General features: G+C 42.9%; 1 long non-coding RNA gene across 1 annotated transcript in view, besides 4 other annotated features; it reads right to left on the bottom strand.

Annotated features, from left to right (window-relative positions):
- The window catches only part of LOC100506444 (uncharacterized), a 38,458-nt gene extending 21,236 nt beyond the window's left edge, over positions 1 to 17,222 (bottom strand). The window contains exon 1 of the long non-coding RNA NR_125918.1: positions 16,955 to 17,222. This is a non-coding gene — a long non-coding RNA (uncharacterized LOC100506444). The remainder of the gene's footprint in view (positions 1 to 16,954) is intronic.
- Positions 7,649 to 7,728: an enhancer, noted in NCBI's record as "active region_21568". NCBI's record gives its function as "activates an Ori minimal core promoter by ATAC-STARR-seq in GM12878 lymphoblastoid cells {active_cell/tissue: GM12878}" and the evidence as "EXISTENCE:reporter gene assay evidence [ECO:0000049][PMID:35858748]".
- Positions 10,453 to 10,572: an enhancer, noted in NCBI's record as "active region_21567". NCBI's record gives its function as "activates an Ori minimal core promoter by ATAC-STARR-seq in GM12878 lymphoblastoid cells {active_cell/tissue: GM12878}" and the evidence as "EXISTENCE:reporter gene assay evidence [ECO:0000049][PMID:35858748]".
- Positions 24,645 to 24,854: an enhancer, noted in NCBI's record as "active region_21566". NCBI's record gives its function as "activates an Ori minimal core promoter by ATAC-STARR-seq in GM12878 lymphoblastoid cells {active_cell/tissue: GM12878}" and the evidence as "EXISTENCE:reporter gene assay evidence [ECO:0000049][PMID:35858748]".
- Positions 24,885 to 24,934: an enhancer, noted in NCBI's record as "active region_21565". NCBI's record gives its function as "activates an Ori minimal core promoter by ATAC-STARR-seq in GM12878 lymphoblastoid cells {active_cell/tissue: GM12878}" and the evidence as "EXISTENCE:reporter gene assay evidence [ECO:0000049][PMID:35858748]".

Below are 27,024 nucleotides of genomic sequence, written 5' to 3'. Positions count from 1 at the left end.
GGCATGGGATTCAATGTGTTTCTAAAGACTCTTTGAGGAGTGACAAAACATCCAAGCAGAGATTCATTAAAAGCTGTTGATTTTTATGTTTCTCCCAGATGAAATGACATAAATTACAGCTAAGATGCACAGTTCAGTCTTTAATCTCGACCAACCACTTCTTTTAATGCCTACCCTGAAATTTCAAGAAGCCACATGGTCAAGGAGAAATCAGCTTCACTTCTCCTGATTTTCATCCTCCCAATCCCTCGAGGCCATTATCTCCACAAATTCGACGTGATTAGAAGTGGAATGCATGGATTGTGAAGAAGCAAAACAGAGCATCTGAGTAATTCTTCCTTAAAACACTGGACCCTGGATGCATTTTGGATGCAGGTGCAGAGGAAATGGTCTTTAAATGATGACAAATTTTTAGGCACATGGTTAAAATGAAGCCAACCAACCTCAAATGCTCAGATTTTCATCCCACTGTGATTTTGAACTTGAGTTAAAGGGAGGCCTGTTCATCAGCCTGGCTCTCACCGTCTTTCCTGCTGTTTCTGGCAGCAGTAGCCTTTGTCTCAGGCTGAGCCCGGCTTTTCTGTGACCTTCACTATCACAGAAGTAAGCACAGTGCTTACTCAGTGCCGGAGTCAGACGAAAGCACACCTGAAACCCCACTCTGCTGAATTCAAGGTGTGAGGCAAATTACTTAACCTCTCTAAGCCTGTGTTTCCTCACTTGTTAAATGGGAATGTGAGTACCAACCTCTTATGGATCCTATGAGGATTCAGTAAAATTTCCATGTAAAATTTTCTTAAATTTGATTTAACAACAACTTTTTATAGGCTTCTCTTAAATGCTATAGAAACAAAAAATATTTATAGCTGAAAAAAAAAACAAAGCACTTGGCAGAGTGTTTGGCATGTAGTAAGTCCCAGTAAACATTAGCTATTGTTTTTACAAATTTCTCTCAGATCTTTGGAGGCACATTCCGGCAAGAGGTTGCACAGTCTTTATTTTAGTGTCCAGAAGACACACATGATTCAGAGAGGTTGGGAGGGAGTGAAAATGTGAGCTCTCTCTAGTGGGTGCTTTCTGGTACGAGCACTCTATCTGAAGGGAAAACCTTTCCAAAGGCTTAGAAATTGAAATGTTTTTGTGCTTAGCTCAGATCACCTCCTCTTGGGGGCAGAAAAGATGAGAAGGCCCAAATGAAGAGTCCAAACAATGGAAGGTGCAGTGGCAAGAGGCAACAACGACAAAGGCCAACACTGCTCAGGAGAGCAGGGGTCCAGAGGGTAGGAGCGGGAAGTGGGGATCCACGCCACAGGGGGATGGCAGAGCAGAGACAGCCATGGCCACAGCTAGCCACACAGCTGCTGGGAGCCAGTTAGGACCAGCAGGCTTTCTCTCAGGCAGCACATCCCTCACCAGGACCCATGAATTAATGAGTGGAGCACAGGCTGGATTTCAGTTCAGCTCCTCAAATGGGTCCTTGAGCAGGACTCAGACTTCACAGCCTTCAGCAGTGACCCTGGGCTGGGGGTGGGTGTCTGAATTTGGATATAACCCAAGAGTCCAGAACCAAGAAGTTGAGAGCAAGGAAGCTGATATCTGTGGAGGGCAGGAGAGGAATGAGGGAGGATCTTAGCAAAATGTTTCTCTATATTTTGCCACATCTGTGAACCACTATAATGGGTTAGCTTCTTCAGAAATGGAAGCTGAAATGAAGGTTGGGATATAGGATGTTCATTAGGGACTAGCACTGCAGAGGAAACAGGAAGGAAGTAGGATTGAGCAGAAGGAGAAATCAAACTGCTGTGCAGGCCTGACAAAGCCTCAGCCAATATAATGAGATGGAATGGGGGTCTGGAGCAAGAGGAAGGATTGGGACCCCATTAGAGGTTCCACCATCAGAGAAGGACATGGCCTCGGGCAGGGTGGCTCTCTGCAGTTGAGGTGGACCCTGAAGGAGCTTCCAGCCGGAGGCAGTCTGCTGACCACATTCCCCATGGCTTCAGCAAGGCCCTCCTTGAAAGGAGATCCGGGTGGCACATCTCCATGTGCCACCAAAAGCACCTCGACATCTATTCATGGTCAGTTCTCATTATTCACACTAGTTATATTCTATAACATCTCTGCAAATACTGAATTAGCAAATACTGAACCATTGCTCCCAGGTGAAATACAGGGTTAGATACCTGTGAGCCTCTGGTCATAACATTTTCATCAGTCAGTCAATACATGACCTTCTTTATATGTGTTTCCATTTAAAGACACCTTATTTAATACATATTGTTGACTCAGTGGCATTGAACTCATGACCAATATCACACTGTAACTATGCCTGAAGGAAGAGTGTCTAATACATGTAGGTTCTCCCTAAGGCACATCACAGCTTTCCTGCACTTAGGAAAGCTAGAGAGTACTGTGGCTCTACATGTGGGGGTCATTTTAACAGTGAAATTACCCAAAAAAAGGCAGAAATGCAAAAAACATGGCACTAAATCAATCACTTGATTATAGACACTTGTTTACAGTATGAGAGCTGAACAAAATAGAGCATTACCTTGCTGGGCCTCAGCTGAAAACTTGTATAGATGGCAACTCAAATGTTTTGCTGCTCCACACATGTCTGCAAACAATAGCAAAACCACTGCACATACTGACTTTGGAGTTACAGATACATTTTAGCAAGTTGGCAAATTCACAAATACTGAATCTATGAATAGTGAAGATCAACTGTACCTAACTTTTTTTTTTTTTTTTTTTTGAGACAGAATCTTACTCGGACATCCAGACTGGAGTGTAGTGGTGCGATCTTGGCTCACTGCAACCTCTATCTCCTGGGGTCAAGTGATTCTCAAGCCTCAGCCTCCCGAGTAGCTGCGATTACATGCATCACCAGGCTCGGCTAAGTTTTTGTATTTTTAGTAGAAACGGGGTTTCACTATGTTGGCCAGGCTGGTCTCGAACTCCTGGCCTCAAGTGATCCACCCACCTCGGCATCCCAAAGTGCTGGGATTACAGATGTGAGCCACCTCACCCATCCCAATCATATTTAATATTTTTATTTACCTCCTTTTTTGTAACATATATATTTATTCTCATTTTAGATACTATTATTGATGAAATCATGGTTTCACTGTGTTGGGTATATTTTTATTAACATACATTAATTTAAGAACATTCCTGTTAATAATAAGCTGTTCTTCTTTATGCCATTTAAAATTGTCTCATGCACCCCTAGTGGTACATAGATTTAAGGAGCTAGTGAACCTGGTAGGCTGGATTTTGTGGGTGACAAGGGATTCGATACATGAATGGTTTGTTTCCACCCAATCTCAGGAAAATCTTCTCTCCTTAGGTTTCTGTCAGAATCATTCATTTGTTCAAGGATCACTGGGCTAGAGGAAACCAATTTCTCTTCCATATCCACTCAGTGTAAGCTATGTTTATCTTTCACTTGCTAATAAAACAATAGCTTGTGTTTAATGTGGATTGATTCAAATAAGAGAATTCAGCAACTTTCCAAGTCCACCAACTTCTTCCTGTGTGGTTAAGCATTCCCACAGTTGATGAAAATGGAGAAAGGAAATTACAAAGGATTTGAATATTATCCTGAAAGTTATTTGTTTGCTTTTAAAATCTTAATAAAAGATTTCTCCAATTTATTTTTCATAACTTCATGGAAAGCAAGAATAATTTCTGTGAAAGAGGTGATTAGCAAGGCAAAAACACCATTTTATCTCAAAATACACTGCTAATCAATTTTAAGTGTTATCTCCATTTGTAATTTAGGATGTCCAGGGTTAATAACATTGCAAAGATTCTCTGATGGTGCAATAATCACGGGATGTAAATTGATTTCTTTCGGTGGGGTGTTTGTTAAAAGCATATGAGCTTTCTAATTGGCCTTCAGCCACTCTGCCACATTGTGATCTAACTATATTGCCCTATAATTTGTAAGCACTCACTGAGTTATTTATAGATAACATGAAATATTTGTTAGTTCACAGTGGATATGATTTAAACCAAACCAAAGACAGTATATAAATGTTAAAATCTTGAACCTATGTTAAAATGTTCAAGAGCCTATGTTCTATTTTCTTTCCTCTGTTGTGTCCTCTGATGAATATTACTACCCATGTCTGGGTTTCCTTTGTAATTCTCTTCCAATTAATTACTCCAGAGAGAGAAGAAAGAGTTGCTACAAATATAACATAATTAAAACTCACTAGTTTTAAGAGCGCGGACTGCAGATGAAGGGAAAATCTGTGGTCCCTATGCTTTATTATCTTGCAGAATCCTTCAGGACAATTCTGCTGTCCTTGGCTTTTAGAGCACCTGGTTTCCCTTTTTGTTTTATCCCATGATGGTGGCAGTAGGTTTGGTCTTCACAGAATGCACATCTAATCCACATGTTACTTGCTTTGTTCTCTAGACCTCAACATTCCCACCTGTAAGCTGCAGCACACCAGTATGTTGCAAACAGGTTACCAGCCATTAACCCTGGACATCTTAAATGGCAAATGCCATAAGATCCTCAGCCTTCACAGTGGCCAGGTGGCCACCTGGAGTGCATGGGGCCTCCTAATTCATGTATCACCTCTGGCCTTGAATAACTTCATCCAGAGAGTCTAATATACAGCACAAGAATGATCCTTTCCTATGTGTGCCATGACATGAAAGAGGTTGGGGAACACCACCCAAGACCAAGGTCCGTCATGACTTTGGGAACCTCGAAGGGTTCTTTAATGAATGTTTACTTGACTTTCTAGTACCTGCTGACTAGTTCCCCAGAACACCCGGCCCATCTTTAGAACTCAGCTGGCCAAGCTTACTTCATCCCTGCAAAGATTGACTAGATGTTTACCTAACCCACTTTCCCTTCCTGGGCTTAGATGCAAATTACATTGCCCAGACCCCTTTCCTCTAGATGCATGCATAAGACCAGCTCCTGCTGATGCAGTGTAAGTGGAAGTAATGTGTCACTTCTGGGTGAAGGCCATTGAGAGTCTTTTGCCTTGTCCATACTTTCCTTCTGACTTCTCCTTTCAAAATATCCATGGACACAACATGTGTTGAAGATGGCAGGTAGGTCTGGGAATGACTGCATTTTCTACAGCCATAGACTGGCCGATTGAAATGGACTTTCATGGGAGTGAAAAATAGATTTTGTTTGTATTATGCTCTAAGACTTCAGAATTTATCAGTTATAACAACTAACATAATTTACCTTAATCAGTACAATTCTTTGTCCCCATAGACATACACAGTGTTATGGGCTGAATCTGTTTCCCCCAAAATTCATGTGTTGAAGTTCCAACCCACCCCACCCCTCCCCAGCCGGCATATTCCAGAATGTAACCATACTTGGAGAAAAGGTCTAAGGAAGTGATTACGCTGAGGTCATTAGGGTGGGGCATTAATCCAATATGACTGTGTCCTTATAAGAAGAGAAAGATGCCAGGGCTGGTGTGCACAGAGGGATGACCTCAAAGAGGCAGCAAGAGGTCAGCCATCTACAAGCCAACTGAGAGGCCTCAGAAGAAACCAACAGGCACTTTGGTCTTGGACTTCCAGCCTTCAGAACTGTGAGAAAGTAAATATCTGTTGTTTCAGCCTCCCAATCTGTGGTATTTTGTGACGACAGGCCCCAGCAAACAAATGCACATAGTAAAGTCACCTCACGTACCATCTCATTTCTCTCTTATTTCCCAACAGGTCTGCATGAATTTTTAACCTGTAGGCATCTGCTGAGTCCTTAAGGATGCTAGTTTGCTAGCTCTCTTATCTCTGCCATAGATATCTTTCATGATCCAAGATTAATTGTGGAAACTCCTGTTCTCAGGCAAACTCAAACACACACCAAAGCATGCACACACACACACACACGCACACAGTACATGTTGCTTTCCTTGATATTTTCCACATTTCATAATTCTCTTGATCACAGAGGTTTATTCAATGAAATTGTACCAAGGGCTGCCCTAGATTTGAACTTAGCCCAGTCTGAGACCCCACGGGCAGCTAGATGAGTTAGGTGAACAGAAGCTCCAAATATTTGTGAAAGATTCTCCTTTCACTGCATCTCCTTCCTAGCCAGAGCCCTCAAAGCTTGTCACTAATAACTCCCCTAAGTTATAGGTTTCTGTGACACAGAATCTATCTCCTGAGACCGTGAGCATGAGCGCTGCCTGGTATGTGCAAGGTCAGAGGACCCTGCCCACTTCCCTCCCGCTCCCAGAGCCAAGGCTACCTGTGGAAGCTACAAACCTGTCTAACCATGGAATTGCCATGTGGAGCCAAGATCATGCTCTGCTGATGGAAGCAAGATGCATGATCCTGAGCAACCCACAAAACGCAAGGCACCACCTTGCAAAAGCTGTGTTCTGGCTCAGAGCTTTCGAATAGGCAACCATCCATTAACATACAAGTTTCCGAATTATACACAGGGCTACCTGCTTGGCTGATTGTATTTTACCCTTTAGCTTGGAAATCTTGTTTAACACAGCTCCCTCTACTGGGCTATTGCTTACTCTGAAGCTTTTGGTGTCCAATTTGGGAGAAAAGAACCAGCCCAGTTAGCTGTTGAGGAACCAGCTGATAGAATGAAGGCGAAAATGGCATTGTCTGATGCGAGAATACTAAGGGATGTATACATGGGGCCCTCTGGGTTTTTGCCAATCCTGTTTGGGTGTTTCCCTACCTTAGGTCCCTTTTGGCATCTTAGTAATCTGTCTTCTGAGAAAAAAGGGGCAGTAATCCTGACCTGCCTTCTAAGGGTTACAGGATAATACGGTTACAGCATATTCTTCTAGGGAAAAATACGATCCCAAGTTCAGTCCACGGGAAGTCAAGCATCAGAAACAACAGGGCAAAGGTGTTCCTGAAAGCCAAGCCAGAACACATTGACAGAAGGGCCCCTTCCAAAATAAAGACAGCCCTAGAGGACAGCAGGCAGCCAGGCAGAGTCTTATCTGGGACATCAGTGGGCATTCCAGGCTCAGACCAAAGACTATTCATGGACCTTTGTAGAACTGCCACAGACTCTGAAAAAGGGACGATCCAGATTTTCTGTTTTCATCCTGGAAGTTCTTTTTCCTTTCTTGCTGCAGAGTGGGGTCAGAAGGAAGCTTTCAAGCAAGGAATGAGGCAGGGAAGTCCCTGAAAATGTGCCTCCTCTCTCTGCAGAGCTTAGCACAAGGGATGTAGATGACTCCCAGTCAGGCAGAGAGCTGAGTCCATCCCTGTCACACACATAAGTGTCATGTATGACGGAGTTTGAGGGAGTCCAATAAACAGTACATTTTGTCTCTGTTACAGGAATCAGGCAAATGAAGATCCAAATCGACAATATTGATAAAAGTCAGGCTGGAGAATGTGGCTTTCAATATCTTAGCTAGGTGGACGTTTCAATATCTTCTCTTGAACTAAACTCATTCACTGGGCTACAAGCAGCACCTTCCTGGCCACAGCCAACCTCTGTAAAGTTTATGACACAGAGCAGTAGAAGGAAATGATCTCCACCAGGGAAAAACCAGAGCCACTCTGTCCTAGCTCCCTCTCTGGAACTAACTCTCCAATCAGATAAGCCATTCCTCATCTCCTGGGGAGATGAGTAAAAGAGGTAAACAGTGGCCAGTTTCCTCTAGTGGAGATCTTTTCACAGAGAAGGAAGCTCAAGAGAAGGAAGTAAGCATCCACCAGCAATCTCTTCTGGAGGTCTCTGTGGACATTCACCCTCCTTCCCTCTGCACAGGAACAGGTGGGCACTCACACTTCCTCAGCACCTGGCAGGCCAACCAGCTCAGGGGCTTTCCAAGCCTGCAGTTACATTCATAGCTGGCCTTATCATCCTGCAGCATAACTACTTCTCTCTCTCCTATGTTACAGTACGAACTCCTGGAAGGCCGGGACCATATTCCATTACATTTAAAATTCATTTCTGTAACCCTGGTACCTAGTATTAGCACATAGTGGATGCTCACGAAATGTTTCTAGAATGAATGGACACGGGTGGATGAATAAAACAAGTGAATAGACAATAAAACCAGGGGAACCCCACAGGAGTAAGACTTTTTTCTAAAGATAAAGGAAGGCTTTGACTTGGTCCAAAGGGAAAGCCGACTCAGCCCCGGGGGCTTCATTTGAGAGCCAGTCTCACAGGAGCCCCCAGAGTGAAGAGAATGTGGATCTGAACTAAACTCCTCAGCATGCCAGGGTTTCCCAGGCTCCATTAGCCCCTTGCTGGGTCACCACAGCCTGGCTCCAGCCCCTTGCCTGAGTGTGGGTCTTTCTGAAGTATCCTCTTGTTCCACGGATCCTCAAAGCTCTCCATATTGCTTCCGTTCCTTCCCATCTTCCCTCCTGTAAGTTGGTAGGACTTCTAGTTCCATTCAACCCTGCAATCCCATTACTGGGCTTGCTCAAAGGAAAATATGCCCAAAGAAAACAAAATTATTCTTCCAAAAAGACACATGCACTTGTATGTTCACCGCTGTGCTATTCACAATAACAAAGACTTGGAACCAACCCACGTGCCCAACAGTGGTAAGACTGCATAAAGAAAATGTGGTATATACACACATTTGGAATACTATGCAGCCATAAAAAAGAATGAAATCATGTCCTTTGCAGCAACATGTATGCAGCTGGATGCCATAATCTTAAGCAAATTAATGTAGAAACAGAAAACCAAATTTATAAGTGGGAGCTAAACACTGAGCACACATGGACATAAATATGGGAACAATGGATACTGTGGACTACTAGACAGTGGGGGATGGGGGGCAGCAATTAACTATTTATCGGGTACTATGCTCACTACATAAGTGACAGGATCCATACTCCAAACCTCAGCCTCATGCAATATTCCCACATAACGAACCTGCACATATACCTCTGGTATCTCAAATAAAAGTTGAAATTAAAAAAAAATTAAATTAAAGAAGAACTTCTAGTTCCAGGATGGCCATCTGGTTTGAGGATCTTCAGCCCAGAGAAACACAAAGCCCTCTCACAACCGAAGTACAACTGTTGATACAGTAGGAGCTAGATATTCACATAGTATACATCATACGTTTTTGTTTTTTTGGTCTGGTATAGACTCAAATAGCAACTTGCCCAGAAAACATAGTCCTTAAATACTGATTGGATAATTAATTGATCAGTGATATGTTTAATGACATTGACCATGGATACAATAGCATGGCCTTTGAATAGAAGAAAGACCATGGAAAGGAGGAGTTGTGAGTCCTGCCCTCTTTTTCCCCGGACATGCAATGCAGTGGTTGAGACACTGAATACAAGTCTGACTGTTCCACCTCTGTCACATCTTGTACAAGTTCTATAATTTTTCCAAACTGCAGTTTGTCCTTCTGTCAGCTGGAGATAATTATTGTACCAATCTCATAAGACTGTTCAATATGAAATAAAATAAAACACATAAAATGCTTAGCCTTGTATCAGGCACATAGTAAGTATTTGACATAAATATGTTTTTATTGCTGGTGTTGTTTTTGGTTTTATTTTATGAGTTAAGATCCTGGAGAAGTGCAGGAGGTCAAAGGGAAAAGATGATAATAGCTTCCAGGGACCCATGTTGAGTGGCAAGGCCCAGAGTGACCCCGTGCTGTGGCACGGATCTGTGATTCTCCAGATGTTCACGAAGGAATGGTTTTCTGCAGAATGAAGGAGCTGAAGTGCAAATGGGGTCAGGGAATTTTATAGGAGCTTGGAGGAAGAGTCAAGAGTAGAGTGTTCAGTCGTTACATCAAGTGAAAATAGAGACGCTGACGAAGAACTCGTGCCCTTACCTGGAGAGCTTGCCCTTAGGAAAGAGAGAGAAAGAGACAGAGAGAGAGAGAGACGCAGACACACACAGAAAGAGACACAGACACAGAGAGAAAGCACAGTCCCTCTTGTGCTGGCTGCTGACCAAACCCCACTGTGCCTCAGCCCAGCTTCCTGCCTCCCTGGGGAGGGGAAACGTGTCCCTTGGCCAGTAGCCATCAAAGGTCTTACAGGGATGCTTTGTGTCTGACCTGCCAGGGAAGGCAAACGAGCCCCACTTTTTGTTCCCCAGGGAACTGGCCTCTTAGGGACACTGGCGAGAGTTGTCTGCACATGTGGTCAATGGAGGGAAGCAGCTAGCACACAAGGGGACCAAAAGGGATGGCGGCGAAACTGCACAGTGGTAGGGGGAAGCCCGCGGGCTATTTTAGGCCAGGCTCAGAACTGGAGTCAATGGAGGTTTTGTTTATGTAACATCTGCAGAGGGCCCTTCAAAGCAAATAACCCTGGGTCTCCAGGCCAGGGCTGCAGCGAGCAGGGGTGGGGCCGCGAGCTTCCTGTTGTTCTTGGCACGGCTGCCCAGCTGTCTGCGTGGCTCCTCTCAGAGCCATTTGCCGCCTCACTGCTTGCTCCCTACGATCATCTTCACAGCTCTTTTCCTAGGGGCGGGTAAACAAAGTACAAGAAGCAGTGCAGGCAGAGCCGTTCCTCGGAGAGGTGACTCGAGCACTGTGCCCCAGAAAGTTGCCCTCCTGACCCCAGGGCTCCCCGGCCGCCCTGCAGCCTCAGGAGACCCCAGGGCGTCCTTTCTGCACATCCCCTTAGCTGAGCGGCTTTGCTGTCAGTTTCAGTATGGTAGGGAAAGGGGCCTGGCTCTCAGGTCTGCCCCATACAGGTCTGAACCCAGAGCTGCATTTGGCAGTTGCTTACTCTTGTGCTAAGTGCTCAATCCCCATTATTTATTACAGGCAGAAACATACATATATACGAGATAAATAATGTATGTTAATTTCCTTTCTACCAGGCCTGTTTGAAGGCATGAACACTATATTGTTATCTTTTTGAAACACAGATTCCATTGGGAAAGATGGGGATAAGACGGCCTTTTTCAAGTTTAGGAAAATTTATATGCACAAGAATGTAGAAATCTGAAACTGACAGTTTGATAAACTTGTTCACCTATGTATCCACCCACGTAACTACTACCCTGATCAAGATACAGAATATATCCATCGCCCTTATGTGAAAAGCTCCTTTGTGTCTCTTTCTGGTTAATAACCTGCTTACCCCTACTTATATTAGTCTGCCAGGGTGCCAGAACAAAATACCAAAGGCTAAGCGATTTCAATAACAAAAATCGGTTTCTCACAGTTTTGGAAGCTGGATGTCCAAGATCAGGGGACTAGAATGGCTGGTAAGGGCCCTCTTCCTGGCTTGCAGATGGCTGCTTTCTCAGTGTATGCTCACATGGCCACTACTTTGTGCACCTGGAGCAAGCGCTCTGGTGTCTATTCTTAAAAGGACATAAATTCTATCAGATCAGGGCCCTAACCTTATGACCTCATTTAACCTTAATTACTTCCAGAAAGGACTCATCTCCAAATATATTCACATTGGGGCTCAAGGCCTCAGCATACGAATATGGAGGGGACATGATTCGGTCCATAGCACTACCACGGTGCCTTCCTCCCCCAGTGATATGGTTTGGCTGTGTCCCCATCCAAATCTCAACTTGAATTGTATCTCCCAGAATTCCCATGTGTCACGGGAGGGACCCAGGGGGAGGTAATTGAATCATGGGGGCTGGTCTTTCCCATGCTAGTCTCGTAATAGTGAGTAAGTCACATGAGATCTGATGGGTTTTTCAGGGGTTTCCGCCTTTGCTTCTTCCTCATTTTTCTCTTGCCACTGCCATGTGAGAAGTGCCTTTTGCCTCCCGCCATGTTTCTGAGGCCTCCCCAGCCATGTGGAACTGTAAGTCCAATTAAACCTCTTTTCCTTCCCAGTGTCAGGTATGTCTTTATCAGCAGCGTGAAAACAGACTAATACAGTCAGTTGGTATCAGTACAGTGGGGCGTTGCTGAAAAGATAGCTGAAAATGTGGAAGCGACTTTGGAACTGGGTAACAGGCAGAGTTTGGAACAGTTTGGAGGCCTCAGAAGAAGACAGGAAAACGTGGGAAAGTTTGGAACTTCCTAGAGACCTGTTGAATGGCTTTGACAAAAATGCTAATAGTGATATGAACAATAAGGTCCAGGCTGAGGTGGTCTCAGATGGAGATGGGGAACTTGTTGGGAACTGGAGCAAAGGCGACTTTTGCTATGTTTTAGCAAAAAGACTGGCGGCATTTTGCCCCTGCCCTAGAGATGTGTGGAACTTTGAGCTTGGGAGAGATGATTTAGGGTGTCTGGTAGAAGAAACTTCTAAGCAGCAAAGCATTCAAGAGGTGACTTGGGTGCTGTTAAAAGCATTCCATTTTAAAAGGAAAACAGAGCGTAAAAGTTCAGAACGTTTGCAGCCTGATGATGCAGTAGAATAGAAAAACCCATTTTTTGAGGAGAAATTCAAGCCAGCTGCAGAAATTTGCATAAGTAGCAAGGAGTCTAATATTAATCCCCAAGACTGTGGGGAAAATGTCTCCAGGCCAAGTCAGAGACCTTCACAGCAGCCCCTCTCATCGCAGGCCTGGAGTCCCAGGAGGAAAAAGTGGTCTCATGGGCCAGTCCCAGGGTCCCTGTGCTGTGTGCAGCCTAGAAACTTGGTGCCCTGTGTCCCAGCTGCTCCAGATGTGGCTGAAAGGGGCCAACATAGAGCTTGGGCTGTGGCTTCAGAGTGTGCAAACCCCAAGCCTTGGCAGCTTCCACATGGTGTTGAGCCTGCAGTCCACAGAAGTCAAGAATTGAGGTTCGGGAATCTCCACTTAGATTTCAGAAGATGTATAGAAATGCCTGGATGCCCAGACAAAAGTTTGCTGCAGGAGCAGGGCCTCATGAAGAACCTCTCCTAGGGAAGTGCAGAAGGGAAATGTGGGGTCGGAGCCCCCACACAGAGTCCCTACTGGGGCACCGCCTAGTGGAGCTGTGAGAAGACGGCCACCGTCATCCAGACCCCAGAATGGTAGATCCACAGGCAGCTTGCACTGTGCACCTGGAAAAGCCACGGACACACAATGCCTGCCCGTGAAAGCAGTGGGAGAGAGGCTGTATCCTGCAAAGCCACAGGGGTGGAGCTGCCCAAGACCATGGGAACCCACCTTTTGAATTAGCATGACCTGGATGTGAGACCTGGAGTCAAAGGAGATCATTTTGGAGCTTTAAAATTTGACGACCTCACTGGATTTCGGACTTGCATGGGCCCTGTAACCCCTTTGTTTTGGCCAATTTCTCCCATTTGGAATGAATGTATTTACCCAATACCTGTTTTTCCATTGTATCTAGGAAGTAACTAGCTTGCTTTTGATTTTGCCAGCTCATATGTGGAGGAACTTCCCTTGTCTCAGAGGAGACTTTGGACTATGGACTTTTGGGTTAAAGCTGAAATGAGTTAAGACTTTGGGGGACTGTTGGGAAGGCATAATTGGTTTTGAAATGTGAGAACATGAGATTTGGAGGGGCCAGGGGTGGAATGATATAGTCTGGCTGTGTCCCCATCCAAATCCCAACTTGAATTCTATCTCCCAGAATTCCCATGTGTTGTGGGAGGGACCCAGGGGGAAGAAATTGAATCATGGGAGCCAGTCTTTCCCGTGCTATTCTCATGATAGTGAATAAGTCTCACAAGATCTGACAGGTTTATCAGGGGTTTCTGCTTTTGCTTCTTCCTCATTTTTCTCCTACTGACACCATGTAAGAAGTGCCTTTTGCCTCCCATCATGATTCTGAGGCCTCCTCAGCCATGTGGAACTGTAAGTCCAATTAAACCTCTTTTTCTTCCCTGTCTTGGGTATGTCTTTACCAGCAGCGTGAAAACAGACTCATGAAAACAGACTAATAGGCCCAGCCCCTAGCTGGTAACTACTGCTTCACTTAATGTCTCAAAACTAGAAGAAACCCAAATGTCCACCAACAGAGAAATGTACAAGTAAACTTTGATCTACTCATACAATGGAACATTTTGCCTCAATGAGAAATAATGAAGCCAGGTGCGGTGGCTCACATCTGTAATCCTAGCACTTTGGGAGGCCAAGACGAGCAGATCACCTGAGGTCAGGAGTTCAAGACCAGCCTGGCCAACATGGTGAAACCCTGTCTCTACTAAAAATACAAAAATTAGCCGGGTGTTGTGGCACACATACCTGTAGTCCCAGCTCTTCAGGAAGCTGAGGTACAAGAATTGCTTGAGCCTGGGAGGCGGAGCTTGCAGTGAGCCAAGATCACACCGCTGCACTGCAGCCTGGGTGACAGAGAGAAACTCTGTCTCAAAAAAAAAAAAAAAAAAAAAAAAGGAATGAGCTCATGGTATATAGGATCCATTTTCGGCTTTCCTCTGAGCAGGTTATGAATAAAACACAACAAAGGCCTTTGGATTTTGAGAATTCTGATCTCTGCCTGGACTGCCCCAAAAGTTTGTTTATTCCAACCAAGTTTAATTATTCCCTCGTGTTTGTAGCAAAAATTTCAAGTTTTTAGGGACCTTGCCTAACCACTGATAATCTTCCCACTCTACCAGGATAGACAATGGAGACCCCAGCTCATATCACAAGTGTCACCAGTAGAGCCTTTTAATATGAAACGTATCTTTCTTCGGGGAGAACTTGACTTCAAATTTGGATTTTCTGTTATTTTTATTAAAGAACAATAGGGTAGCCAGTTGGCTGAGGAAAAAGCAGTTGTTTCAAATTAGGTGTAATTTTGAATTCAGCCAATATTGGCTTAACAGATTTTACCCAAGATGTTTTTCTATATATAGGATGTTTGACTTAGTCTTAGAAAGACTGTGGTGGGTTTCCATGTCCATTGTTATTTGGCCTTATGCTTTGCAAAGTATCAAAGTAAGTTTGTTTTTAACAGTTATGCTGCCAGTTTGAGTTAAACTGTTTAACAAGGGAGAGTTTTTACTAAAAAAAATCGTCTCTTTGGAGGCAGGGAGTCTTAATTCACTCAAATAATAGATTTTAAAGTGAAAGTAGCTAGAACTTGAGATCTGAGATAACAAGCCAACTGCTTGCACCTCCACAAAATGTGACATTTCCCAGGCAGTGAATTGGGCTTTCTATTCCCAAAGGTTTCATTCTGGTTTCTATGAGTCTGATTTTTATCCAAAGCCCCTGCTTGCCTGGTGTTCCAATTTTTTTTTATTTTTATTTTTGTACCAGAGGGATATTAAAATGGCCAGAAGCAGAGAAGCCAGTGAGATGTAGAGGAAGAGTTTACATGTTAACATCAGAGAGACCTGGGTTCAAGTACTATATTCTCCTCACCTGGGTTTGTGACCAGGAACAAGTTACTTTTCTGAGCCTCAGTTTCACCGTTCATAAAATAGGCATGACCATGCTTACCTCCAAACATTTGATAAGAATTCACTGTGAAGTACCTGGCATATATGAATAGTAGCTCATTCATTCAACAAATGTTTATTGAGTACCTACCATGTGCCAGATGCTTTAGCAGTGGGGACACAGTGGTAAACAAATGATATCTGCCCTCTTGGATATCATAGTTGTTCAATAAATAGCTGCCATTCCAATAGGTATATGAAAAGGTACTCAACATCACTAGTCATCAGGAAAATACAATCAAAACTACAATGAGATATCATCTCACAGCTGTTAGGATGTCTATTATCCAAAAAAAAAAACCAAAAAAAAAAAAAAACAAAGATAAGTGTTGGCTAAGCTGTTGAGAAACTGAAATCCTGGCACACTGTGGTAGGAATGTAAAATGGTGCAATTGCTATAGAAAACAGTATGGAGGTTCATGAAAAAATCAAAATAGAAGTACTATATGATCTAACAATCCCATTTGGGGGATTTATCCAAAAGATTTGAAATCAGGACCTCAAAGAGATATCTGCACTCCCATGTTAATTTCAGCATTATTCACAGTAGCCAAGAGGTGGAAACCACCCAAATGTTCATTGCTGGATGAATGGATAAAGAGAATGTGGCATACTGCACATGCAGTAGAATATTATTCAGCTTTAAAAAAATTCTACCATATGCTACAACATGGAAGAGCCTGGAGGACATTATGCTAAGTGAAATAAGCCAGTCACAAAAGGACAAACACTGCATAATTCCACTTACATAAGTATCTAAATGTATCTAAAGTCAAACACATAGAAACAGAGTAGAATGGTGGTTGCTAGGGGATGGGGCAGTATAAATGGAAAGGTATTATTCAAGGGTTATAAAGTTTTAGTTATTCAAGATGATTAAGTTCTGGAGATCTGCTGTACAAAATTGTGACTCTGGTTAACAACACTGTATTGTACACTTAAAAATTTGTTAAGAGATAGATCTCCTGTTACGTGTTCTTTTTTTTAAAAAAAAGAAAGAAATATTATAAATCTAGATCATGGTAATCTAGATCATGTTTGTGTAACTCTGTAACCTTACTAAAATGGATTATACACTTAAAAGGGTGAGTTTTATTATATATAAATTACATCTCAATAAAGCAGTTTTGCAAAAATAGTTGCCATTAATTTAACAGTCCCATTTCTTTCAAGCCTTTGTTCAATATCACCACTCCCCTCCCAGCTTCACTTTTTTCATAGCCACATTTTGATATATTATAGTTTATTTATCTTATGTAATCAATTCTAAGTTTCACATCTTAACATACATAAAATCAAGATGCATTCTATAATGGCAGCAATTTATTAGCAGCATTCTTTCTTTCTTTAGTGGCACATAGACTAGCAGTGCATCTTGTATCACTGCCATCTTAGAGACAATAAACTGTGCTGTTGTGTTATTGTTTCTTGCCTTTTTTCCCCTCTAGAATGTTTGCTTCACACTGGTAGGGATCTTTATTTTGTTCACTGCTGTATTCTAAATGTCTAGAATAGTGCCTAGAATGTCTAGAATAGTGCCTAGAATGTCACATATCATTGATAAACATTTGTTTAATGAATAAATGAATGAATGAATGGGTGTCATGCCTAGCATCAAGAAACATACTAAAACAAACGAACTGAAATTAAAAGATGAGTTAATAATAGAGCAACCTACTTTCATCATTTCCTCTTCTGTTTTATCAGCAGGACACTGGGGAAATAGCCGAGTTTTGAAGAATGTCAGCAGGGAGCCACCAGGGATCATCCTCCCCGGTAAGAAGAGACCTCCAGAGACCTTCAGGAAGCTGGAAAGAAGCTTCCAATGGTGAGCTCAGCCCCAGAAGCTTCTGTCCATGCCATCTCACTTCTGAAGTGCTAATTCACCACTTTCACTAGAGATGCTGAAGGTAGCCCTGTCTTGCCTGGAAAGTGACTGGAGTGGTCCCACCAGTGGCCAATTAATCTCTTTTAAACACTCCCTAATGGTCCAGGAATCAATCCCCTACCCCCAAAAGAAGGCTGAGTCAGTTCGTTTTGTCCTCGTGAGTGGTGAATGACCTGCTCTCCTGATCTGCCTGGAGGCCCCTGAGGTTAGGTTTTGGGTGCAAGTGGCTCCCTTGACAGTCTGGAGAGGCTGTGCAGGCATTCATTACCCATGGCCCCAGGCAGAACCTACACCAGGCTACGTGGATGAGAATATGCAAATTCCTTGTTAGACAAGTCCTGTGCTCTGTTTCACATTAGCTAATGTTCACCAACCCAGTCACCAACCGTTTATGGTTTTCCTTCAGTTTCAAAGAACAAATCTTATTATTGTCCTCTGGAAGGGATTGAAGAGTCAAAGAGCCAGGAAAACCCATTTGAGGGACGAGTAAAACTTCCCACAGAAGCAATATCCCTTCCTTGAGCAACTTTGAGTTGCTGGACTTTGTTCTTCACATTTTTGTTTCTCTTTCCATTATTTCTCATTAGACGCAGTGCCCAGGGTCCATGGTACTCTTAGGGACCCACAAAAATGTGTGAGTTTATTTTAAAATCAAGAAGGAAAACAACAAAACTTTAGGGTTAAAAAATTTTGCATTATTGCTCACATCTAAAAAAATGAAATTTTCAAGGTCTAAGAAAATTTAGACTTTGTCTAAAATAAAAATTAAATACAATGTTGAAGAATTTAAAGTTATATCAAAAATCATGTAAAAATTGATATCACATTATGAAGGAAAGGGCCCGTAAAACTCATCTTGTAGCCTTGAGGTTACCAGATGAGAAAAGTGATCTTGTCAGACTGAGAAGCCTGGTGGACCCAGGACATTCAGATCCCTGGCAAACAGCTGAGAGAATTGTTAGGGGAAGAGGCAATTGTTAAGGGAAAATGCTGGGACTAACATTTCTTGAGTGTCACTCTATGGTAGGCTTGGTCCAAGGCATTTTAGTGATATTATCTCATCAAAGCCCTGCAGCAACTCTGAGAAATCATATAACCATCCAGCTTTACAGAGAGTTTAAAGAACTGCTACCAGACTGCTCTCCCGCCATCTCTCTGTACATTTCTCTTTCTTAAAAATAAATAAATAAATACATAAATTCACATGCTAATAAATCCTTCTCAAATTACCTTATCCAAATGTTGATTTGGATTTTTTTTAATGAAGATTTATTTTTTTATTTTTTTGAGACGGAGTCTTGAGATCTTGGCTCACTGCAGCCCCACCTCTTGGGTTCAAGCGATTCTCCTGCCTCAGCCTCCCAAGTAGCTGAAACTACAGTCGTGCACCACCATGCCTGGCTAGATTTTCTGTATTTTTAGTAGAGACAGGGTTTCTTCATGTTAGCTAGGCTGGTCTCGAACTCTTGGCCTCAAGTGATCTGCCCACCTCAGCCTCCCAAAGTGCTGGGATTACAGGTATTTTTTTATCTTTAAATTAGAACTAGAAAGACAGACATTGACCATCAAAGACTTGATTTGGGTTTCAGACAGGTTTGGACAGCGTTCTAGGATGCACCTGGGGTCTTGAGGCACTCAATTAGCTAAGGCAGCCCGCCTTGGAGAATGGGTGGTTTTTACTTATTTTTTGAAACACATTTTTCAAATGTCCAAAGGTAATTTAAAGAAAAACAATTTCACAATCATCAAGTTTTGATTGTGTTGGCCCTCATGCAAACACCCACGCTGTCCTCAGAATGTGGCCTAAGGGCCATTCAATTAGGAAACACAGAAGATGAAGCTTGCCTACTGGAAACAAAATGTCACAAAATCTCTCCTGCAATGGTTTGGATATGGTTCGTTTGTTGCCACCAAAGCTCATGTTGAGATTTGATCCCTACTGTGGCAGCGTCGGGGGTTGGGAGCTAGTGGAAGGTATTTGTGCCATGGGGGTGGATCCCTTATGAATGGCTTGGTGCTGTTCTCATGTTTGTGAGTGAGTTCTCACTCTCTCAAGACTGGATTAGTTCTCCCAGAAATAGATTAGTTCCTCAAGAGGGTGTTGTTACAAAGCCAGGACATCCCTCAGGTTTCTCCCTCTTCCTCATGTCTGCTTCTCCTTACTGTTGTTCGCCAGGTTGTAAAGTAGCATGACACCCCTTGTGGAAAGCCAGGGCCATGGCCTAGCACTTCTCAGCCTGCAGAACCAAGGGCTAGGTAAACTTCTTCTCTTTATAAATTACCCAGTCTCAGACATTCTTTTATAGCAACACAAAGCAGACTAAGACATGGCCCTAGAAAAACAAACAGTGCTGACTTCAGAAGCTGTAGCTGCTTGCTGAGACAACGTGCCTTATTTGTTTATTCAGTGCCTTTGAGCACCTATTGTGTTGTGTGTGGTGCACTGTGCTGGATGCTGGAGGTTAAAACATAAATGGGATCTAGTCCCAGATTTCAAGTCACTCAAGTCTAATAAGGACAACCATCCTGGCCCGAGCCGCTATAGTACTTTGCCTGGCCTATGGCAGGAGCCTCCTCCCTGGTCTCCCTGCATTCACCCTTCTCTTCAGGACACAGGATGCTGTTTAAACATGCGTGAGCCCACACCCCTTTCTGCTCAGTATCCTCCAACACGCCCCACCTCACTCATGCCACAAACTCAAGGTTTCCATTGCTACTCTCTGACCCCATCTTATGCTTCTCTTTCCCTTGTTCTCTCTGCTCCAAGCACAGTGGCCTTTGTGCTTTTGCTAAATCAGGCCAAGCCCACTCCCACATCAATGGTTCTTCATTTGCTATATTTTTGGCCGAGAATACTCATCCCCAGATGCTCCTCACCTGCTCGGGATTTAACTCAAATGTCATTCCAGTGAAGCCTTCCCCAGTGCCCTAGTCAGTATGACAGCTTCCACCCATGTGGGAGCCTCCATGTGCTCCGTCTCTGAATTATTGTATTTCATTGCACTTAGCATCATCTAATCATTGTGTATTTTAATTATTTTTCACTGTCTGACTCCGCTTTGCTTCTTTGCTTCTTTTGCTTCTTTTTTTTTTTTTTTTTTTTTTGAGATAGAGTCTCGCTCTGTCTCCCAGGCTGCAGTACAGTGGCGCAATCTCTGCTCACTGTAACCTCCACCTCCCAGGTTCAAGCGATTCTCTGCCTCAGCCTCCCAAGTAGCTGGGATTACAAGCGCATGCCACCATGCCCAGCTAATTTTTGTATCTTTAGTAGAGACAGAATTTCACCATGTTGGCCAGGCTGGTCTCGAACTCCTATCCTCAGATGATCTGCCCACCTCAGCTGCCCAAAGTGCTGGGACTACAGACATAAGCCACCATGCCAGACCATCCCTTTGCTTCTTGAAAGCAAATGTTTTACCTGTTTTGTATCCAACTGTATCCCTAGTGCCTAGGATAGTGCCTAGCATATAGTAGTTGCTCAATAAGAATATACTTATTTTTTGAATAAATAAGTGACTGAATAAGACATTCAGGTAAAACAACAACAACCATAAAAATACTAACCAGGTATGGTTTTTTGAGAACACAGAGGGTGAATCCTCTTTGCTTTCAGAAATTGGGAAGAGGTGATTTTGTGCTTAAAGAATAAGTAGTACTTGGTCAGGCTTTAAAAAGAGAGAAAAGCACTCAAGTAGAGGGAACAGTGTAAGCAAAAGAATGTTTTCATGTGGGAACTTCAAGTAGCCTGGGTTCAATGGATGCAAATTGTCTGGGTACATAGGACATATGTGGAAAAAGGAGTGACATGAAACCAGGTTGGAAATACAGACAGACTCCAGATCACATCATAGTATGGAGTTTGGGCTTCCTTCTTCAGGTGATGGAGAGCTACTGAAGCCTCTTAAGCAGAAGAGAGATCCAATTGGACTTATGTTTTAAGACCTCTCTGGAAATGGTATAGAGAAAAAAATTGTGGGAAGGATGGGAATTGGAGGACAAGAGAGGATGGATTTAAGAGATGTTGGGAGAGTAGGCCAAAGGACTTGCTGACCCATGTTGTGGGAGAAGAAAATGTCTTGAGCAGAAAAAAACTAGAATGACTGCCTATGTTTCTTCTTGGGTAATTGAGGTAAACATATAAATTCACCCAAGAAATGTGTATTGAGAGCCTATTATGTACTAGATACTAATCGAGGCACTGGGAATACAGCTTTGAACAAAATTTTAAAAGCCCTAATTTCAGGACCTTACGTTCAACTGGAGGACTGTCAGTAAATATATCAAGAGATAATGTAATTTCAGCTTGTGAGAAGCTTTCTGAAGAAGAGTAAAGCATGATATAAGGATGGGGCACAATGTTTATTTTATGCAGGAGACAGACTTTTCTGAGGAGGTGATGTTAGAGCAGAGACTAATGGAGAAAGCCATGAGAAGTCCTGGGGAGAAGATATCCAGGCAAAGGGGATAGTGAGCATATAGAACCTCTACTAAAACAAGAGAGTCTTGTTCAACAAACAACGAAAAGGAGAAAAGTAGGCAGGGGCTGGATTCTTATAGCCTTGACCACCATAATAGTAAGTGTGGATTTTATTTTTTATATTTATTTATTTATTGAGACGGAGTTTCACTCTGTCACCCAGGCTGGAGTGCAGTGGTAAGATCTCAGTTCACTTCAACCTCCACCTCCCAGGTTCAAGCAATTCTTCTGCCTCAGCTTCCCAAGTAACTGGGATTACAGGTGCCCACCACCACGTCCGGCTAATTTTTGTATTTTTAGTAGAGATGGGATTTTACCATGTTGGCCAGGATGATCTCTAACTTCTGACCTCAAGTGATCCGCCTGCCTCAGCCTCCCGAAGTGCTGGGATTAGAGGCGTGAGGCACCACACCTGGCCGTGAGTGTGGATTTTAATCTAAGTGATGGGAAGCCATTGAATGGGTTTGAGCAGGAAAGAGACATAATTTGACTTATGTTTTTGTTGTCCTTTTAAATCACTCTGGTTCTGGGGAATAGAACAAATTTCAGAGACACAGAGGCAAAAGAAGATGGTGGCTGAGACTTGGGTTGTCACAGTGAAAGTCCTGAGAAGGCAGTTGTCTTTTCATCTTTTTAAGGATAGAAAAATTAGGATTTGCTGATGGATTGGATGTGGGGAAAAACAGGAATTGAGAATTACTCTTGGGTTCTTCACCTGAGAACAGGTGGGTGTTGGTTCCATTTACTGAGCTTGAGAAGTGTTTGAGAGGAATAGGACTTAAGGAGGTGGAGGAGGAAATCAAAGGTTTTGTTTCAGACATATTACATGTGGAAAGTCTTCTGAACACCCAAGAGGAGAGGTGGCTGGATACCCAAGTCTGAAGTTCATGGGTAGGGTTTGGGATGAAATATAACTTTGAACATACTTGACATCACAAGCTTGGATGATATTACCCAGGTTGCTGTATATGGATAGGAAAGTGAACGTAGACCCGGACGGATCCTTGGCCACTCAAGATACAGTAGTTAAATGGAGGAGGAGCAGCCAGTGAAGGAGACTGAGACGGAGCTGCTGGTGGGAAAAATTCAAGAGCATGGTGTCTCAAATGCCAAGAAATTGTTTCAAGTAGGAAGAAGTGATCTTATGTGCAAAATGCTGCTGAAAGATCCAGTAAAATATGTCCAGAAAATTGACCACTGGACATGGTAAAATGGAGATCATTGGTAACCTAGACAATAGCCATGTTGGCAAAGTGGTAATGACAAACAGAAGAAAGAATGGGAGGTAGGCAAGTGAAGATAACGACTACAAACGACTTTTAAAAATCTTGGCACTACTTTCAAAAATCTTGGCATTAAAAGTGTACGAGAAGCAAATGAGACCTGGGTGGGGGCTGAGAGGAGTCAAAAGGATTTTACTTCATTTTTTTTTAGAGCATGTTTATGTGCAGATGGAAAATATTCAGTAGAAAGGGGGAAATTAATGATGCAGGACAAAGAGGAATGAATCGTAGGCATCAAAGCTTTGAGTGAGCAGGAGAGACAGTGCACAAGTAGAGAGAGGTTAGTCTTAGGAATAGGTACAATCTCACTCACTGGAAGAGGAGGAAAAGGAGAACATAGGGACTCAGGTGCTTGAAGTGTGGTGGATTTGGTCCTACCAACAGAAGTCCTCTTCAGTTGTTCTTATTTTCTCAGAAAAATATTCAGCTGATAGTAAGGAAGTAGAAGGGTGCTGAAGTTTTGAGAAGTGGGAAGGAGATATGGCGAATTAGCCACGAGATCAGGAGAGGAAGTGGGATAGAAGATGTATTTGAATTGAGGAGCAATGGAGGCTGTCCACCTGAGATGTATGGTCTTTAATTTAAAGTGAGATCAGTCAGTTGTGTGTTTAATGTCAACCAGTTTAGCGACATGGGGGACAGGTGTGAAGTAGGCAGTGAGAATCAAATGATGACACTTTGGTGGGGGAAGACACTAGAGATGAAGAGTTCAGCTGGGTGTGTGTTGGGTTTGAAATACCTGAGGAGATCCAGGTGAAGCTGTCTTGTAGACAGTTGGAAATGAAGAATCTGTGCTATAAATAAAGATCTGGGAATCACTGATTGATTAAAAAAAAGTTACAGAATGTGTCCTGTGCACCAGATACTGTTCTAAGCCAGACATTGTTCTAAGCACCGGGCACAACAGAGAACATAAGACAGAATCTCTGTCCTCATATAGGGCTTGTATGCTGGTGAGGAGGGGCATCATGAATAGCTCAGTCATTTCCAAAGAGAGAGATCTGCAGCCCAGGGGATGTGCAAGATGATCCCTTGAAATGCGAGCAGGAACTATTTGAACTCACATTTACATTTTTCTTATCATCTTTAATATCTATTTTTATATGTGTCTCATTCATTTTCTAAAATGCTAACACAGTAATACATATATTATTATATAAATAAGTATGGATATGTTTGGAGAGACATGCTCAAAAAGTATTTACTGATAGAGATGCTTGATTAGAAACATTTGAAAACCACTAGCCATGTGTGAGATAGTAGAAGATGAAGAAGATGATGAAGATAAGTCTCCCAAAATTGACATCAATAAAGATGTATACAAGAAATTAGATTAGCTCTGTAGAGCACAGTCTCTGAATTATTCCATCCTGGGTTAACATTTTTAAGTAATGAGCCTTCCAGAAATGGGACTAAATAAAGGTATCAGGAAGAAACTTATAATGATTTTGCTGTCAAAAAATAGAACAGGCTGCCATGTGACAAGTAGGCACATTCAGCAGAGGCAAGATGCCTGTTGGTGAGACAGGCTGTGGAGGAAGTCCTCACCAGGGCCGCACTGATTTCAGAGGGAAGATTGGACCACAAGACCCTCAAGTGCCTTGTAACTCTAAGCATCTATGAGTGTATGAAGAATAAGCTGGGAATTTGGAATTATAATAATCTCTTTATGTAAGGAATTGGATTGAGGAAGGGTGAATCATAGCCTTGCATCTACAAACAGAGGGGTGATGGTCTGCCCAGATTACAGCCAAGGGAGAGCTGCAGAATGTGTCAGCATTTCCAGCTTGCTTCGTGGGAGAGGGTGCCTGAGTAGCAGATGTGAACATTTTGGTTTCTGTGGTTGGTATTTTCCTATAGTGGAGAAGAGTGACTCATGAGGTCCACACAGCCAGATGAAAATCACCCTAGAGAGGCAGCTCAGAATAGTGGAAAGTTACTCCATGGACTGTTGTCTTCAGTGCTTGCAGGTAAAGAAACTGAAGCTCAGAGAGACTAAGCAAGTAGGCTGGAGCCACCCAGCTGAGAAGTGGTGGAGCTGGGATTCAAAGCCAGGGCTATCTAGCTTCAAATTCCATGTTTACTCTGCTACATGGTAAATTTAAGAAATCCTTTAGGAAAAACTCAGAGGGGTGTAGATGATCAAAGAAGTGAGACTATATTTCTTTTCTTTTCTTTTTTTACTTTAAGTTCTTCAAGTTCTGGGATACATGTGCAGAATGTGCATGTTTGCTACATAGGTATACATGTGCCATGGTGGTTTGCTGCACCTATCAACTCATGATCTAGGTCTTCAGCCCCGCATGCATTAGGTACTTGTACTAATGTTCTCCCTCCCTTGCCCCCCAACCCCTGACAGGCCCTGGTGTGTGATGTTCCCCTCCCTGTGTCCAAGTGTTCTCATTGTTCAACTCCCACTTATGAGTGAGAACATGCGGTGTTTGGTTTTCTGTTCCTGTGTTAGTTTGCTGAGAATGATGGCTTCTAGCTTCATCCATGCTCCTGCAAAGGACATGAACTCATCATAAGAATGTATTTCTAAGGATACAGATTGGCTACTGTAACAAAGACAGCCAAGAAATACCAAAACCAGAGAATTAAACAAGATAGAAATATTTTTTCCTCATACTTAATGGTCTGAGCACAGGGAGTCCAGGGCTTATATGACAGGTCCATTTTGTTGGGGCCCAGGTTCCATCTAACTCTCGGCTCTGCTGTCTCATGTTGTTGCCTTTATCTGCATGGCTAAAGACTGTATAGCTCCCCAACACACCACCTTGGTCTGTATTTCATCTAGTGGAAAGAGGGAGAAGGAGAGGGAAGACGTACTTCCTTCTCTTAGGTGTGACGCAGTTGTTGTACACCTTGCTTCTGGTCACAGCTCCTTGGACACTGAGTTATGATGGAAGCTGGGAAACGCCTTCATTCCAAGGAGCTATATGACTAGCAAAACTCAAAGATTCTATTTCTAAAAGGTGAAAGGGAAAATAGATATTGACAGGCAATCAGCAGCCTCTGGCACATTAAATTATATCTATTAGAAGAACAAGAAAAAAGAAAAATAAAGGGACTTTTAGACTATTCTAAAGGAAAGGGAAGGAGGGCTCTCCAGGTCTAGGAAACAGCTTGGGAAAAGGCAGAAGAAACAGGCTCCTTTTAGAGAAGTGTTTGCAGCCAAGTTTGGTTTAAGAGTTTAGGAGTGCAAGGAAACTCTAAGAAACAAGACTAGAAATTTTTGTCACAGACATTCAATACAAAGTGAGGAATTTGTACTAACCTCAGTCAGCAAGAGAAAGTGATTGCAGGTTTGTAAGCAGAAAATATTATGATGAGGGTTGTACTTTACAGAGATTGTCCTAGCAGTTGTATGCACAGTGGGCTGGAGTAAGGCAAGATAGAAAGCTGGGTGGGATTGTGGAAAAACACTGGAGCGGGGTCAGGAGGTCTGGCTGCAAAAACCCAGTGCTTCCCTAATGACTACTGCATAGTGGTTAAGAGTCAGGCTCCAGAGCTGCAGTCCCTGCATTCACATCTCATCTCACCACTTAGCAGCCATTCCTGAAAACAGGAAGATCTTCAGAGAGTGCTCAGCATCTTGGGCACATAGCAAGTTCTGCCTTGACTGTTACCTTGAATAAGCCTTCTCTCCAGGCTAACTGCTTTCTGAGTTCAGTGTAAAAACTCGATGAGTTGATTTCTAAAGACACCTTCAGCTCTAAAATTTTCTGATCCCCTGAATCTGAGTATGATACAAATGTTTAACACTGCCTAAAGAGACCTGAAAATCACATTTTAGAATATTTTTCTTTCCAGTAGACAACATATTAATTTTGTTAAACTCACCTTGGCTCTCCCAGAGCAAATTATAATGATTTGTTGGTTAGAGAAAAGAATTATATGCAAATCACATTTTACTTAATGCCAAAAAAAAAGCTAGTAGCCCAGGGCATTTGAAGCCACACTGCTGCTTAGGGTACCTGCTTCTCTCTCCTGTCTTAGAAGAGGAATGGGGACTCCAGGCAACTTGCTAATCTTCTTAATCAAATTGGGAGTAGGTTTTTTACCGTGGTCTTTTGGCGAAGCCACTAAAGAGATCCCGA

The sequence above is a fragment of the Homo sapiens genome, chromosome 4 (assembly GCF_000001405.40).
Source record: "Homo sapiens chromosome 4, GRCh38.p14 Primary Assembly".
Taxonomy (NCBI): Eukaryota; Metazoa; Chordata; class Mammalia; order Primates; family Hominidae; genus Homo; species Homo sapiens.
This window is presented reverse-complemented; position numbering and strand designations above follow the sequence as displayed.